General features: G+C 34.7%; 1 long non-coding RNA gene across 2 annotated transcripts in view, besides 1 other annotated feature; it reads right to left on the bottom strand.

The window, feature by feature from the left end:
• LOC107986638 (uncharacterized) overlaps nt 1-15,986 on the bottom strand; it is a 131,875-nt gene that overhangs the window by 63,658 nt on the left and 52,231 nt on the right. For both annotated transcript variants that reach the window (XR_002956366.2, XR_002956367.1), the window contains exons 3-4: nt 15,261-15,328; nt 3,874-3,899 (exon numbers count right to left, since the gene is read on the bottom strand). This is a non-coding gene — a long non-coding RNA (uncharacterized LOC107986638). The remainder of the gene's footprint in view (nt 1-3,873; nt 3,900-15,260; nt 15,329-15,986) is intronic.
• Nucleotides 11,703-11,997: a silencer, noted in NCBI's record as "tiled region #3090; K562 Repressive non-DNase unmatched - State 24:Quies". NCBI's record gives its function as "represses a minimal TATA promoter and a strong SV40 promoter by Sharpr-MPRA in K562 cells {active_cell/tissue: K562}" and the evidence as "EXISTENCE:reporter gene assay evidence [ECO:0000049][PMID:27701403]".

Here is a 15,986-nt window from a genome sequence, read left to right as displayed (position 1 = left end):
TCTAGATAGCAGGCTTTGTAACTCATGCTTGTGTTTACAGTTGAATGTTCCTTGTAGTTCCATTATCTCTTTACTAAAAATAAATGTGGTGAATACTAATGGAATGTGTTCTCTTTGGGAAACTATTCAACAGAATGATTAATTAATCGAGAGAAAGGTTAGGTGATAGCTGAAATAAAAATTAGTGTTTTTTAATTCAACATTCAAAAACACATTTGACATTTTGTTGTAAACTATGTTTCTAGCAGCTGTTAGGGTAATTGTTTTGCTAGTTTCTAATTGCAGATGTTGGCAGCTGGAAATTAGAAGCAAGTAGTAGTTTCTTTAGAGCATGGAATTAAATGTGTGAAAACATGAGATTATGCTTTTTCAGTTATCTTCAACACTGCTATGAAGATCGGAGTTTTAGAATCTCTACTAATTATTTTAAGGGTCAGATAACCTTAAATATTAAAAAGTTTTAAGCCTTTACTAGATATATAAAGGCCTGTCACTTTTCAAATGTAAGTTAGATGACAAAGAAGTCTCTATGGCCAGAGAAAGGAAGGAAAAATAAAGATTTATTTGAATAATTAAATAAAAGAAGGGGTTTATTACATTATTCAGAAAATTGCTTCAATTTTCCCACTTGGCCTTGCCTGTGCAGACCTGAGAAAATGCTCTTTTCTCCTATATTTAATCTCCAGAGCAACCTAAAAGGATACTGACAAACATTAATTTTGCATTATAAAATAGTCTCGGTAAGTGACAGCAATTTCAAGATTAATGTGTTGGCCTCCTGAGATTTCAGTAAGGAAAAAAGTTTCTCTTAAATCTTGTATTTAAGTCTTATATAATATTGGTCACTGTCTTGCAATGGTATTTTCCAATCAAACAGACTTCTGAAGACTATGAGTTCTCCAGCAGCTAGGAATGAAGAGTGCCTGTTCCTAGAGGTATGGTTTCCATTGCGCAGTTCACTGAGCTAGTCACTCACACTAAGTCTCTGGCATGCTTCTTTAAGATTTATATTCAGGTATAGGATAGAAAATAAAGTCAATAAAGATAGGGAATTTAAAACATACCCAAACTTTTGCTCCATAAAAGTTACTGTTAAGAGAATGAAAAGATAATCCATAGACTGGGAGAAAATTTGCAAGTCACCAGTCTGATAACTTGTATCCAGAATTTTTTTAAAAGCCCTCAAAATTCAACAAAATAAGAAAAAAATTACTCAATAAAAAAATGGGACAAAGATTTGAACAGCTTCACCAAAGAAGATGTATGAGTGGCAAATAAGAACATGAAAATATGCTCAATATTATTCACCATTAGGGAAATACAAATTAAAACCATGATAAGATACCACTATGAACTTATGAGAATGGTTAAAAGTTAAAGAAATCTTACAATACCAAGTGATGGCAAGAATGTAAAACTACTATAAATCTCATACATTGCTGGTGAACATGCAAAAATGTACAGCTACTCTGGAAAACAGGCAATATTTTATATTTAAGTGAATGCTTAGCCATATGACCCAGCAATTCCACTCCTAGCTATTTAACTAGCAAAACAAAAATTTCCGCGTGTGCAAAAACCTGTATGTGAATGTTTCATAGAAGCTCTGTTTATAATCACCCAAACATGAAAATAACTGTATGTCTTTCAATGGGTGAGTAAAAAAACTATAGTTCAAAAATAGAATGGAATATATTCCGCAATATAAAGGAATGGGGAATTGATATACACAACAACGTGGACGAATTTTGAAAACTTTATGTTAAGTTTAAAATCCAATTTTCAAAAGTCTTTAATAAATGAACTAATTTATATGACATTCTGGAAATAGGAAAAACCATAGCAATGGGAGCAGATCAGTGACTACCAGGGTGGTGATAGGAGGAATCAGGTTGGTGATTCTAATTCCATATTCTGATTGTGGGAGTGGTTATTTAAATCTATTTGTTGAAATTAATTAACTATACACCAAAAAGTTGATATTAATGCATATTAAATTTTAAAATTTTTAAATTAAAATTGGCTTCCTAAGTACCCAAATTGTGATGTAATAATCCATCTTTTTCTAGTTTTACCTGTTTCTCTTACTTTTTTTGCTGCAAATTGTTCATTGACATTTTCAAATTAGTAATAATCACCTATGCTGTGGAGAGATTGGCGGGAGAAAGGCTTGAAAAATTTCTCACCATTAATCAAGTCTCCTTGGTCTTTAAAAATAAGTTTTTGATATAATGTACATTTTATCTCACAGCCTGCCCTCAGGATATTGCCAAACACTCCTTTGAAGAAAATAAGGAAGCAGGGTCTGGGACATTACCAGTATTTGGGACAGGAAATTTTGGAGTCTACCATGCTAGAACTCATAGGCAAAATTTGAAACTGTGGGGCTTCTGCCTCCTAAATTCTGCTGTGATGACTCCAGAGTTATCAAGGCATCGGAAATAGAAAAGCCCTGCAAATCAGGCGCTCTGTTACTGAGAGGTCCTAAATAGCAATCCTGGCCAAAGTATCAAGCTCTGTCTCCCTCTGTGGCAGTCACAGTGCTATCAGTAGGCTAAATCCATCCTCTCTTCACAGTTGAGCCTCTCTCCCACACTCACATGGCAATAATTGAAACTTTGGGTACATTTGCCTCGCCTTTCCATATATGATCCTACACTGCATAAATCCTGCAGCTTTTATGCCATCTGCTTTATCTCCCCTTTCTTCTCAACTTAAAGTCCCACTTTTCTGAATACTCTCAGAAAGGGGAGGCATAAATCCGAAACTATGCATCAGATTAGACTAGAAATCCCTATAGAGCTCTCTAGTCCCTGTAGCTCATTCTTCAGATCAGGTGTGGAGTCAGGATAAAACGGCATGATTATCCAGAATAAATGGCCTTGGCTCGTTCCATAGAGAGCAGCGTAAAACTTGGAGGGAAGACTTATCTTGTTAATTCTCAGCAGCTGTCTTTAGGTTTTAGCAGCTGTTTGGGGGTTTAATGAGAATAGAGGAGAATAGCTCTCTATTTGGAAATGCAAGAGGGTTTTGGACTAATTTTTTTCCAAAGAATTGGTGCTGAATGTATAAATGTACTCCTAATATTTTTCACGTCTTGCATTTTAACATGTTGAATTGTAAAGAGTTAAAAAGATTTAAAGAGTTTTTAAGTTCCTCCGGGAAAGGTGAAATATTGGCCAACTGGTAGACCACTTAGAAATTGCCCATCATAATTTCTACATGAGGGTTTATGAGGTCAAACAGGAAAAAAGGAGATGAATAATTTTAAACAAAGCTGTCAGAGACCCAGGTGGGAGTTAAGTTAATAACTGCACTGTTCAAAATGGAGAGGCTACCAGTATCCTGAAGCAGATATACTTGTATCCTAAGTCTTGTAAGTGCCTTTCCTTGCCTCCGTTCCTCAGAGTGTGACTACAGGGCCATATATGATGCTTTTTGACTCTGCCATCACCCACAAGCATGTCCTTTATATATTGTATATTCTATAATGTGCCAATGTTTTTTGTCATAAAATATTACTTATCATATTTATGCCCATCAATCAACGAGAGGATAAAGAAACGATGGAATACTACTCAGCCACAAAAAGGAATGAATTAACGGCATTCACAGCAACCTGGATGGGATTGGAGACTAGTATTGTAAGTGAAGTAACTCAGGAATGGAAACCAAACATCATATGTTCTCACGCATAAGTAGGAGCTAAGCTATGAGGATGCAAAGCCATAAGAATGATACAATGAACTTTGGGGACTCGAGGGGAAAGGGTGAGAAGCGGGTGAGGGATAAAAGGCTACAAATGGGGTTCAGTGTATACTGTTCAGCTTATGAGTACACCAGAATCTCACAAATCACCACTAAAGTACTTACTCATGTAACACCGGTTCCCCAAAAACCTATGGAAATAAAAAAATTAAAAAATATATTACTTATCATATTTAATTTTAAAGGGACACAATAATTTATTTTGTCAAAAGCAAAACCAAAATTTCCTGATTAAGTTTATGAGGAACTTATTTAACTTGATGAGTGACAATTTAGGATAAGATGTTCCGTAAGTTTTTTGCTACAATAGGTACATTTAAAGAAAAAAACTGCACCCACCTCTATGTATTCAAAAGCTTTCTCTTAAATTCTAAAAAATGCTCACTGATTGACATCAGAGTGAGTGAGATTTCTTAATACAGAGGCCTATTTTTTTAAAAATTTCACTCAGATGCTTTAGAACCTCTTGTTCACTGACAATATATCACAATGCTGGTCTCTTTAGATATCAAAGCCACAACTTTCTGACAATCCTGCCTCCTATCTCTTCTTTTTTATTGATCCTTATTTTCACAACCTTTCCAAATTGTTTAAATCATTGTAATACTGCAATGTGTTTGTAGTTATGAAAAATCATTATTTACATTTTAAAAATAGTTTTGACAATGCTCTGGTTATTCTTACTGATGTGATAGAATCATTCTCTCAGTACTTCCTTCACTCCTTCCAACAAAATCGTAAATTTACTTAGAAATATGCTAATCTATAATTAATACAGTTATACAATCTGCCTTCCTGATGGGCAGGGACCATTGCTTGCCCTTGTATCTCAGATTTAGCACAGAGCAGAAAACAGTCAACAGTAACACTTGCTACATGTTTAGTAACACTTGCTACATGTTTGCTGAATGAATAAATAATTCTCATCATACTTCCTCACAGCTTCAGGAGGAAATATAGAACTTCCAATACTGGGCCTCATGTCTCCCTTTATGTATGAAAATTTTCTGTTTCTCTGTCTCTGTTTCTCTGACTGCCTTTCACACCTTCCCCGAAACTGTCCTCCAATGTTAAACTTGGCTTGTGGCTTTTGAGCTATCCTCTTTCTTCTAGAATGTTCCAGTCCAAGAGCAGGCGGCTTCTAAATTGATTCTAGAATGAATTACTGGCTCATGCATCTTCATCTACTTTACCTCCACTATACTAGAAATCAGTCAAACATTTTTGTTTTTTCTTTTAATTAATGTCAATTCATACCAAATGATGAAGCATGCTTCTCTCATAATAAAGGAAAATAATGAAAAAAATTAAGTTCCAAACAATGATAGTGAAGTTGCCCAATAAAATAATTAAGAAATAGAAAACATTTTTGGTTAATCATCTATTGAGAACTTACTATGTGTCAGGCTCTGTGCTAGCCACTTAAAATATTTCATTTAATTATCGCAACACTATAAGGTAGATGTAATTTTGAGTCCCCAGTTCCACGTGAGGGCACTAAGGCTTAAAGAAGTTAAATGGACCTAAAACGGAGAGGTAGAGCTGGCATCAGAACCCAGGTGATTTTGCTTCTAGGATCAGGGTCCTTGAGTGCAATGTTATTATGTCCTCCCAAATTCACCTACACAAATCAACATTTACACCAAGGTTGGAGATGTCGTTAAACATTATTTTATACCAGAATCACAGTTACAACTGCATTTCAACAGGCACCATTCAGAGCATTAACTCCTGGCTCCTTTCAATGGAGATAATGGCTGAACAAACTCTCTAAGCTCTAGGTAGAGTCATCCTTTGATATTCTACTGGTGATGTTCAAGGATATTTTAACCAAGGGAAGTGAAAAAAGGGTGAGAACAATTTTTTTAAAAAGTAAAACAAAGAGAAAGCAGATGTATTTCTGAAGCAACTAGCTTTACACAGAGCGCCCTGGACTTAGAAGCATTGAGAAAAAAAATTGCCTGTTGTCATAGACCCAAACTGGCTGTAAAGCAGGACAGTCTCTGTGCTGGTGAGAGGGCAGCAGGTTGTAACAGCTTGTATTTGCAGTATGTCTTCATCCACCTCTGTGCATCCTCTAGAGTTCCCCCTATCTGCCCATTTAATACTAAATACCTAAAGTGCATTTTAAAGTCTTGTATCAGATTTGTCCTCTTGAGAAGCTATTAAGCTAGTTACCCTGCAGCCCAGAGGGCTCTTTTTCAGTAAAACTGATTGTACCACAGCATCACCATTAGAACAGCCCTCCATGGCTGCCTGCATAATTCCTGTGAAAGGTCACCAGTACTTCAACTACAAAGGCCTTTTTGCTTTTACAAAAAAAAAAAAAAAAAGGAAGAAAATTGTAAATCAGTATTTTCAATTTTTCAAGAACAAAAACCAGCAAAAAAGCCCAGACACATTTTTTTTCCTTCTTCTCACCATACTCATAATAACTGCATTCAATTGCAAACCTTGGAAGGAAAGCTACCTCATTATGTTATGATCTAAGCCAAAATCCATTTTAATGTCTATTCCTGTATCTAGATATTGATTCCATTCTTCAGATATCCCACCTGGAAGTGTGGAAATTTCTACTATTGGATGACATAAAGCAGAATCTGGGCACTATTTTAGGCTGATTTTGTAATGATAAGCCAATCTGCCCCACAGTGGAGTAATAAACAAGCTCCCTGCAAGGTGTCCATGGGGAACCGCAGTGAGAAATAGCTGATCTCCTGTGTGACATCAGTTCAAAGCAGTTGTCCTGCAGCCAACCTTGAGACTGGGGTAAGACTGTGTGTGATGGATTCATACATGGTAGAATAGAATAGAATATAATGGGATTGTGAGTTGCATCAAAGCAGTACATTAACAGATTATCAGATTATCAATTTTTCCTTCATAAATACCCTATCTTCTCACATCCAAGCTACCTGTAAGTATTCATCTTTTAAAATCACTCTCTCTCTCTCTCCTGTTTTCTGTGAGCACACTCTCAATGAAAAGCATACTCAGAGGCAGAGAAAGCAAAAGCTGAAGGAATTTTCAGTGAAACTTGGCCTTACTATAAACAAAAATTAGATTCTTTAAATAGTTTATGAATGAAATATAGTTTGATAGGCACTATTTCTTCTGATTTCCTATAAATGGACAACTCTTTCTCTGGATTTTCCCCTGAATCATTTAAAGACAAATTTTCTATTGTTTTGGCATTAAAAATAGTTTTTCTTTCCAAGATAAAGGACTAGAAAGTTCTAGCATTGTCATGAGGATAAGGACACTGAAGGACAAGGATTTACTAATGCCTCCTCAATCCAAAACACATAGGAGCAAAGAAAATTCATTTTAAAATTTGAGCATCTTGCCCATCATGGTTGAGATGAAATTGTTTCTATAAGTAATTCAGAAATATAGTTTACTGGACTCCTGGACAATTTTACTCTCTTAGAGGGTGAATAAAAGGTCAGTGAACTCTGGGATAACCCGTCTATTTGGTGATTTAGGGTAGAATAAAGGAGGTAGACAAGAAGGTTTAAAAAAATCACAGTAGTGAGTCAGTCCTAAAAATTCAACTTAAAAACTAAATATTGTTAGAATTTTCCAGCAAGATTCTTGAAGCTAATAGCCTTGTGATAGAGACTACAATAAAGATAGAAAAATTGAGGCATAAGAAATTCAGTTATTTACATAACATCTGATTCAACTCCCCACAGCTTTTTCATGTCACTTAACTCATCCATTTGTTCAACTGTGCCACCTCCTCAATATTCTTATTTAGGAAAAAATAAAATATTACCTGAAGTTTTCACACTTGGTTATCTCGAACCTTCCTATAGTCCTAGGTTTTATTCAGTGTTTAAGAGGTAAATCCTTCTACTCCTTAATTATCATTTAAAAGACTTTAGGCATTGTGCCAGACAAGAAAGATACAGATAGACAGTGGTTCCACCTTTTAAAGGGAGAGAAGACAAGATATGCACATATAAAATAGCTGGACAATTATCCCTAGACACATAGACAAGGGTCTCAAACAATAACTAAAGAGCTAAAATTATTAAAACATGGAATAAAGATTCTCTTGGGAAAGAGTTAAAGAACTTTCATTAAGGATGTCATTTGAGTTCAGTCTGAAAGTAATCATAGGACTTGGTTGAGAAAATAAATATAGTGTGGAGAGAATAAAATATTGTCATTCAAGAAAAAGAAGCAAAATCAAGCAGGGCATGGTTTCTCTTAATAATTAAATATGTTTTTTTCCTAACCTACATCTTCTGCAAATGCTGATAAACATCAATAAAATAGAAAAGGCTGAAATGCTCTAGGCACAATAGAAAAATAAGGAGAGTTAAGATATAAGAAGCATTCAATAAATATTAGAAGAATGAATTAATTAATGAGTGGTGTTGGTGAGATGATAAAATAAAAATATATCTTACTGTACTATTTCATATTCAGCTGCTCCCTTACAAAAAAATTTAAAAAAAAATAATTAGAAATGGTCTGAACTTCTTTCTCTTAGCTTTATGAACCCTGCCATGCTGCCTCCTCTGCAGACAACACTGAACAACAAAAATTGAGGAAATCAATTTCAACATTTGCTTTGGAGACAATGAAGAATGTGATCCCTGTTTGCTAAAATTCGGTTCGAGATGTCAGCATTCAGCTTCATCTTCTACCGCAGAGCCAAAAGAGGCTACTGTGGTTGTGTGAATATGCCTTTTCTCTCTTCCACACCATGCATATCCTAAGGGAGAATCTGACTTTTGTGGAAAATGACGCTTGCACAATTTGGAAGGGGGTGCTTTTAAAAAATACAAAATGAGAAATGCAAACAGCTATAGAGCCTCGGAAGGAGTCCATGCAAGTGAGAGACATGCAAGTTTAAGAGTCAGGAGATTAACGGTAAATCCCATGTGTTCTCTGCATTTTGTGACTGGTCGTGTCCTTCTACTCCCTTTCTGGGTACACAATTCCTTGTCTCTCTTCATATGAATACTGAAATGTTACAATCTTTATGCAATTTTCTGACACTTGACACCCAAAGAAGAAGCACAATCACTCCAGAACTGCTCATTTTCCTGTCATTAATACCACTTATTTAGTTGTTTTGCAATTAGTTATGTGGATATTTATTTATTTATTTATTTATTTATTTATTTATTTTGAGAGGGAGTCTCACTCTGTCACCAGGCTTGAGTGCAATGGCGTCATCTTAGCCCCCTGCAACCTCCACCTCCCGGGTTCAAGCGATTCTCCTGCCTCAGCCTCCCGAGTAGCTGGGATTACAGGCGCTGCCACCACAACTGGCTAATTTTTGCATTTTTAGTAGAGATGGGGTTTCACCATGTTGGCCCGGATGGTCTCCATCTCCTGACCTCGTGATCCGCCCACTTTGGCCTCCCAAAGTTCTGGGATTACAGGCCTGAGACCCCACACCCAGCCAGTTATGTGTATTTTTGAGACCTCTGCCAGACTGTGAGCTCCTTGAGGGCAGAATCCTTGGCCTTTGCATCCACAGCACAGAGATTTCAATACAAGATTAATTGCATGATTGGCTAAATTATGTTTTTTGTTACACAAATTACTCATGCTTAAAATGACAAAAGTATTATTATATTTATATAAACTTAGCAAGTTTTTTACCAGACTATTTCTGTTGATTAAAGAACAGCACCTGAACAGCAGGTTAGTTTTCTCACATATATATATATATTTTTTTTTGTACCAAGGAGGTGATTTTAAAGAAGTGTAGAAAGTTACAAAAACTTACACATACAGTCACATGCTGTACACATCTCCAAGCAGCCTAGAAGTACTTTATTCTTAGTCATGATGATCATTTTCAAATGAATAATCTAAGTTGGAGTTTTTCAAGCAAAACAATTAAAGATTATTTTACAAAAATATAACCAACATAATCTTTGATTAACAAATTATATTGTGGAAATAACAATGGAACATTAAATATACCATTTTGTGAATGTACCGTAATGAGTTTCAGAAGAAAAAGAAAATCATTTTGTACTATTTTCTGGGCTGTGACTTGGATTTACACAGAGGGAGAATAAAAAGAAATTAGAACAAGCCTGAAGTTTTGCTTTTTAAGTTTATTTTTCTGCAGCAAAGCCTATAGGAGCAATTAAGTTGGAAAATAAAAAACACATCAGCTGTTTTTTTAAAATAAAGTCACAAAAAAATAAACATAAAACTACATTAAAGCAAGAAGATATAAGAAGAGAAAAAAAATTAAAACACACCATATTTTGTGTACCTTTTAACCCCATCCCCTCCCTAAAAGGTATTTTCTGTTTCTGAGATTTGCTTGTCTTTACTTCAGTCATATACAGCTTATACGCACCACTTAAGATTTATTATTTTCAATATCTAAATATGATAAGAGAAGTATTTATTATAGCAACAAAATAAAGATAAATAATACAGACTACTACATTATAAATGGCTCAAGGACTAAAGTACTTAACTGATTTACACAGATATTGATAATGAAAATAATACAGATGTCATAACTTGGTTTTTGTTTCTGGCTTGGTTTCAATCAGAGTTTCATGTTAACAGTCAAATCTACCTTTTTCTTCGAATTCATCAGCAGATATTAGCACATGGACAAAGTATAGGACTGGCAATGCTGTCTTGTTACTTTTTTCTCCCTCTTTTGTGTGCAATTCTTGTATAACAAAGGGGAGAGCAAGTTCAAAAAAGGATCTAAAACACATAAGCTTATTACTATTATTTCTTACAACGAGTGGCTTTTTTCTAGTTTAAAAAGTAACTTATTGGGAGCTATGGCAATTCTGATATAATCTGAAGTCACCTATGTTAATTAATTTGATTTGCAAAATAGGACTTTCCAAAAATCAGATTTTTTCAATTTTAGTTTCCCACTCTGCTTCTTTTTCACTATCAGCAAAATAAGATATGAAGAAAAGGTATAGAGAATAGAAAAATCTGATCTCTTCTGTCTCATAAAATACATCCTTAGACTACGCTTTTTAGTTGTTATTTGATATAAAGATTACTATTTTGAATTGTGGATACAATTAATGATTTTAAAAAATCATTATTAACATTATTCTGGTTTTATTAAACAAGAGAATTTGGTAGCCATTATCAGTTTCCCACAACATAATCACCATAGTTGGAGGAATAGCATAATTTTGGAAATTATAATGTAATTATATTAAGTTTCATAAGTGTTTTCTGTATTTATACTTCGAAAAATTTTTTAAATGTGCTCTTTCTCTACTGTGTGCACACAAAGATCTGCGGTTCTATTTGCTTTTTATTTCTCATAAAAATAAAACTGAATTATAGAAGCTACTATGTTAACTATAGCTTTTAGCACCTCTGTTTATCATTGTAATCAAATTATATTGAAAGCCAATGAAAACTTAATAGTTACACTTATTTTGTTGACCCTTACTATATGTCAAGAAAATGGGACAATGCAATCTTTATTTGCAGGCTAAAATCATTTTAAAATTTTCATGAAGAAAATAAAATAAAAAGTACAAAATGCCAAATTATCCAAATAGAACATAGTTCACCTCATTCAGTTAAATAGTTTCTTTTAACGCAAAAGATTAAAAGATATGGAAGACAAAGAAAAGTGAATGGAGGCAAAAGAAAAAGAGAGGGAGAAGAAGGAGGAAGAAGGAAAAGGAGAAGGAGAAAGACAGCACTCTCTCTTCAGGCCATTTTCAAACTGAGTCACTTGGTTTGCTTTTAGCCAGAAAAAGATTCTGTATTTTCCTGTCAAACTTTGAAAATCAATCTGTATTTTCAATATTTATCAATATTGGTTCATATAACTTTTTCGTAAAACTTGTAACGAAAAAGAAAATGAGACCCCATTGTTTTTTTTTTTAAGGTTTTCTTTTCTTTTTTTTTAAATTATACTTTAAGTTTTAGGGTACATGTGCACAATGTGCATGTTTGTTACATATGTATACATGTGCCATGTTGGTGTGCTGCACCCATTAACTCGTCATTTAACATTAGGTATTCTTGATTCAATTCCTAAATGACCAAAGAGCAAGTGCTGCTTTGATGTTGCTGGGCTCTGTTGATTTTCCTGTCTGTATCAGCTTGCATCATCAGTAATGTCCTTAGAGCTCTGAATCTTGTTTTCATGTGTCTCTGCCTCCCAGGTGAGATGTTAATACAAACAGTAAACTAAGCACATGCAATTCGTAAGAAGAGCCACAACTCACAGCCTTCTAGTCTCTTTTGGTCAAGCAAAAAAAAAAAAAAAAAAAAAAATGAACAGACTCTAAAACCCAAGAAGCAAATGATTGAAATAACGAGAGAACAGCAAATGAACGTCAGCTGTGATGATTAGAGAATGGGTGTGGGCTCAACTTCTAAATGTGTAAGAAAGAGATGTGTGAGAAAGAATTGAGAATTATACCACTTGGTAGGAAGTCAACGCAATTATATTCGGTGAAAAAACAAAAATCTCTACGCACAAAATAATGATGAACCAAAAGACGCAGTGGACTCTGCAAGACAAGTTAAGTATATTAGTTTATTGTAATTCCATTTGCTGTTTTTAGAGTAGGAACTGGCTATTGAGTGGACTGAAGATGGTGGGGGGCAGAAGAGCAAAATAAAGAAAAAAGACATATGGAAGAATGAAAAGAAGGAAGGAAGGAATTATGAAGTCAGTTTTTTAACTCACAGCCAAGAAAGGCCAGAAGCTCTTACTAGAATTTATAAAGCAAAAAATTAAAATTGTAAATATCTTCTGACAAAGAGAATCTATATGACTTGCTGATATAAGGGAATCAGTTTGTATCTTTATTCAACGAAAAGTTGTATACTCATGTCACAACCTTATTTAAATATATACAGACTTATGAGAATGTGTGTTAAATGAGTTTGCCCAAAGGGGGTTTGGATTATAATCCCAAAAGACACAATCCTAAATGCCATAATCCCAAATGTTGAAATCTCAAAAGATCAAAATTTCTAAAGTCTAAAATCCCCAATGTCTAAAATCTTGAAATTCACAGTCACAGAATAGTTGCATTATGTTAGGTAGAGCTATTAACTTGTTATTGTCTTTATTTGGAAATTAAGTATGGTTTAAGGCAAGGGTGTCCAATCTTTTGGCTTCCCTGGGCCACATTAAAAGAAGAAGAACTGCCTTGGGCCACATATAAAATACACTAACACTAACGACAGCTGATGAGATTTTTTTAAAAATCACAAAAATTCTCATAATGTTTTAAGAAAGCTTATCAATTTGCATTGGGCTACATTCAAAGCCATCCTGGGCCTCATGTGGCCCATGGGCCATAGGTTGGACAAGCTTGGTTTAAGGGGTTATATATGAGTGCTAAATTGACAGTGCGCCAACCTGTGGACTTAATTTTAGGTGTCAAGTTGACTGGATTAAAGAATGCCTAGAAACCTGGTAAAGCATTATTTTGCATGTGTCTGTGAAGGTATTTCCAGAAGAGATTAGGGTGTGAATCTGAGTGGACTAGGCAGGGAAGACCTGCCCTCAAAGTTGGTAGGCATTATTCAATCAGACAGGGACCTGGAGAGAACAAATGCTGAGGGTAAATTGGTCTCTCTCTGATAACTGAAAATACTTTTTACTATTATTATTATTATTATTATTATTATTTTTGAGACAGAGTCCAACTGTGTCACCCACAGGCTGGAGTGCAGTGGCGTGATCTCAGCTCACTGCAACCTCTGCCTCCCAGGTTCAAGTGATTCTCCTGCCTCAGCCTCCCAAGTAGCTGGGACTACAGGCACGTGTCCCCACACCTGGCTAATTTTTGTATTTTTAGTAGAGATGGGGTTTTGCCATGTTGGCTAGGCTGGTCTCAAACTTCTGACCTCAGGTGATCCACCCACCTCAGCCTCCCAAACTGAAAAGACTTTTATTCTGCCGCCTTGGACATCAGAATTCTAGGTTTGCTGACTTTTGGACTCCAGGACCTCCACCAGCTGTTTCTTGGGTCCTGAAGCTTTTGACCTCAGATTGAAACTTACACCAGCTTCCTGGGTTCTGAGGTTACTAGACTTAGACTGAGCCACACTACCAGCATCTCAGGGTCTCCAACTTGTAGACGACCTGTGCTATGACTTCTCAGCCACCATAAAGATGTTAGCCAATTCTTCTAAAAATCCCCTCTTGTGTATCTATATACATATCCTATTGATTGAGTCTCTCTGAAGATCCGTTACTAATACACACTTGGCGTTGAGGAAGCCAAGTATCATTCCTGCTACTGTATTCCTTACAACACAGTGGAAGAGATCTGTGAAATTGTTCCCTCACAAAAAGGCTGTGATAAGTTAAGTGTATGAGGCTTCTTAATAGTGAAAGATAAAAGTTTAAAAGCTAATTATTATTGGTGCTGCAAAAGCTGAAAATCCCTTAATTGCAAAGGCCAAGCAATAATCAGACTTTCAGATGGACTGCATATACTTACAAAATTTGTAGACCACAACCACTGTCCAAATACAGATCACAGAAGTAAAAACACAGATGAAAAATACAAGAAGTCCTCCAAGCCAAATTATCCAATCACATATAACTTCTACCTCTTCACACATAGCGCCAATTTGTTATGCTATGTATTTCATCTTCACATCATATCCCATATTAGAGATCTAAATTGTGTGGAGACTTTTAGAGAGTTCTAATTTGTTTTATGCTGCAAATTTGATTCCATTGAAGTGCATTATCACAATGTTGACTTTATGTATAAGCACTGCACATTTATATAGAAATGTTGAAATTTCCTCACTAAATGAAGAAATGTCCTTTTTGTAGATCTGCATTTGTGAAAGATACAATTTCTTGAGATCTTGACTCTTTGGGTGATTACATTTGTGACAGTATCTCATCATGGTTTTCCAACAGTCTCGCCAAGACAAGATTTATGTTGTCTGTCATTATGTTTCATATGACCAAAGTTATAAAGCTAGACACACGTAATTACCAACTATAGTATATATTTCACTTTTGACCTATTTATATGAATACAACTTGACTGCTTATAACTGTTATACCCATGCAACTGTCATTAGTATGCCAAAGTGTTAATGCTTGCAAAAATATGCATGTTATTATTGCCTATTTTCTTATGTAAAATGGCCTAGGAAGTGTTTTGTTGTGTTTTTATGTTTCTCAAATAAATCTCCTTTTAAAAGTGTAAATACAATTTTTTAAACTTTTTTAGAATTATATTTTCAGTATTTTGATCTTTTGGAATTTCAACACTTGGGACTATGGCATTTGTGTTTGTTTGTTTTGGAATTATGATTAGCTCCCACCTGAAGGACATACTGAGAATCCTCAAATATATGAAGTCTTTTGTTTTTTCGGTAAATTTAAAATTCTTTGTTCACTGAGTAAGTACTTTGTGAAGAACAAATGCTAGATTATTAATTCCTTATGAATATTTTAAATCTCATTATTTAGAAGTTCGGCTAAAATCTTTAATTAGGGTATAAGGTAAAAATGGTACCTGGTAGTAATGTGCGGACTCTAATTTCTAGGATTTGATGGATGCAAAAATTCTTGAGCACAGAATTCCTATAACAGAATAAGAGATTAAATTTTTACTAAAATATTAACTATATTCAAAGTAGAATTGAATAAGGCTTACATGCCTAAAACATACAGCTCCAACTGTTTAGTTCCAGTTGGAAGAATCCTCAAATATATGCAGTATTTTGTTGTTTTGGTAAGTTGAAATTTCTTTGTTCACTGGGTAAGTACTTTGTGAAGAAGAAATGCTAGAATATTAATTCCTTATGAATGTTTTAAATCTCATTATTTAGAAGTTTGGCTAAAATCTTTAATTAGTTTATAAGGTAAAAATGGTATCTGATAGTAATGTTTGGACTCTAATTTCTAGGATTTGATGGTTGCAAAAATTCTTGAGCACAGAATTCCTATAATAGGATAAGAGATTAAATTTTTACTAAAATATTAATTATATTCAAAGTAGAATTGAATAAGGCTTACATGCCTAAAACATGCAGCTCCAACTATATAGCTCTAACTGGAGTCTGTTATATATTTAACTAAAATTTGCTCAAATGAAATTTTAGTTAAATATACAACAAGATTACAATTCATTTATGTAACAATTATTGAGTCACTACTACGTGCCAGGTACAGGTGCTCTAAGCCCTTAAAGCACAGCAGAGAACCCTGCCCTCATGGGACTAGTAGTCTAGTGAGAGAA

Source organism: Homo sapiens, chromosome 6, assembly GCF_000001405.40.
Source record: "Homo sapiens chromosome 6, GRCh38.p14 Primary Assembly".
In the NCBI taxonomy this organism is placed as follows: domain Eukaryota; kingdom Metazoa; phylum Chordata; class Mammalia; order Primates; family Hominidae; genus Homo; species Homo sapiens.
This window is presented reverse-complemented; position numbering and strand designations above follow the sequence as displayed.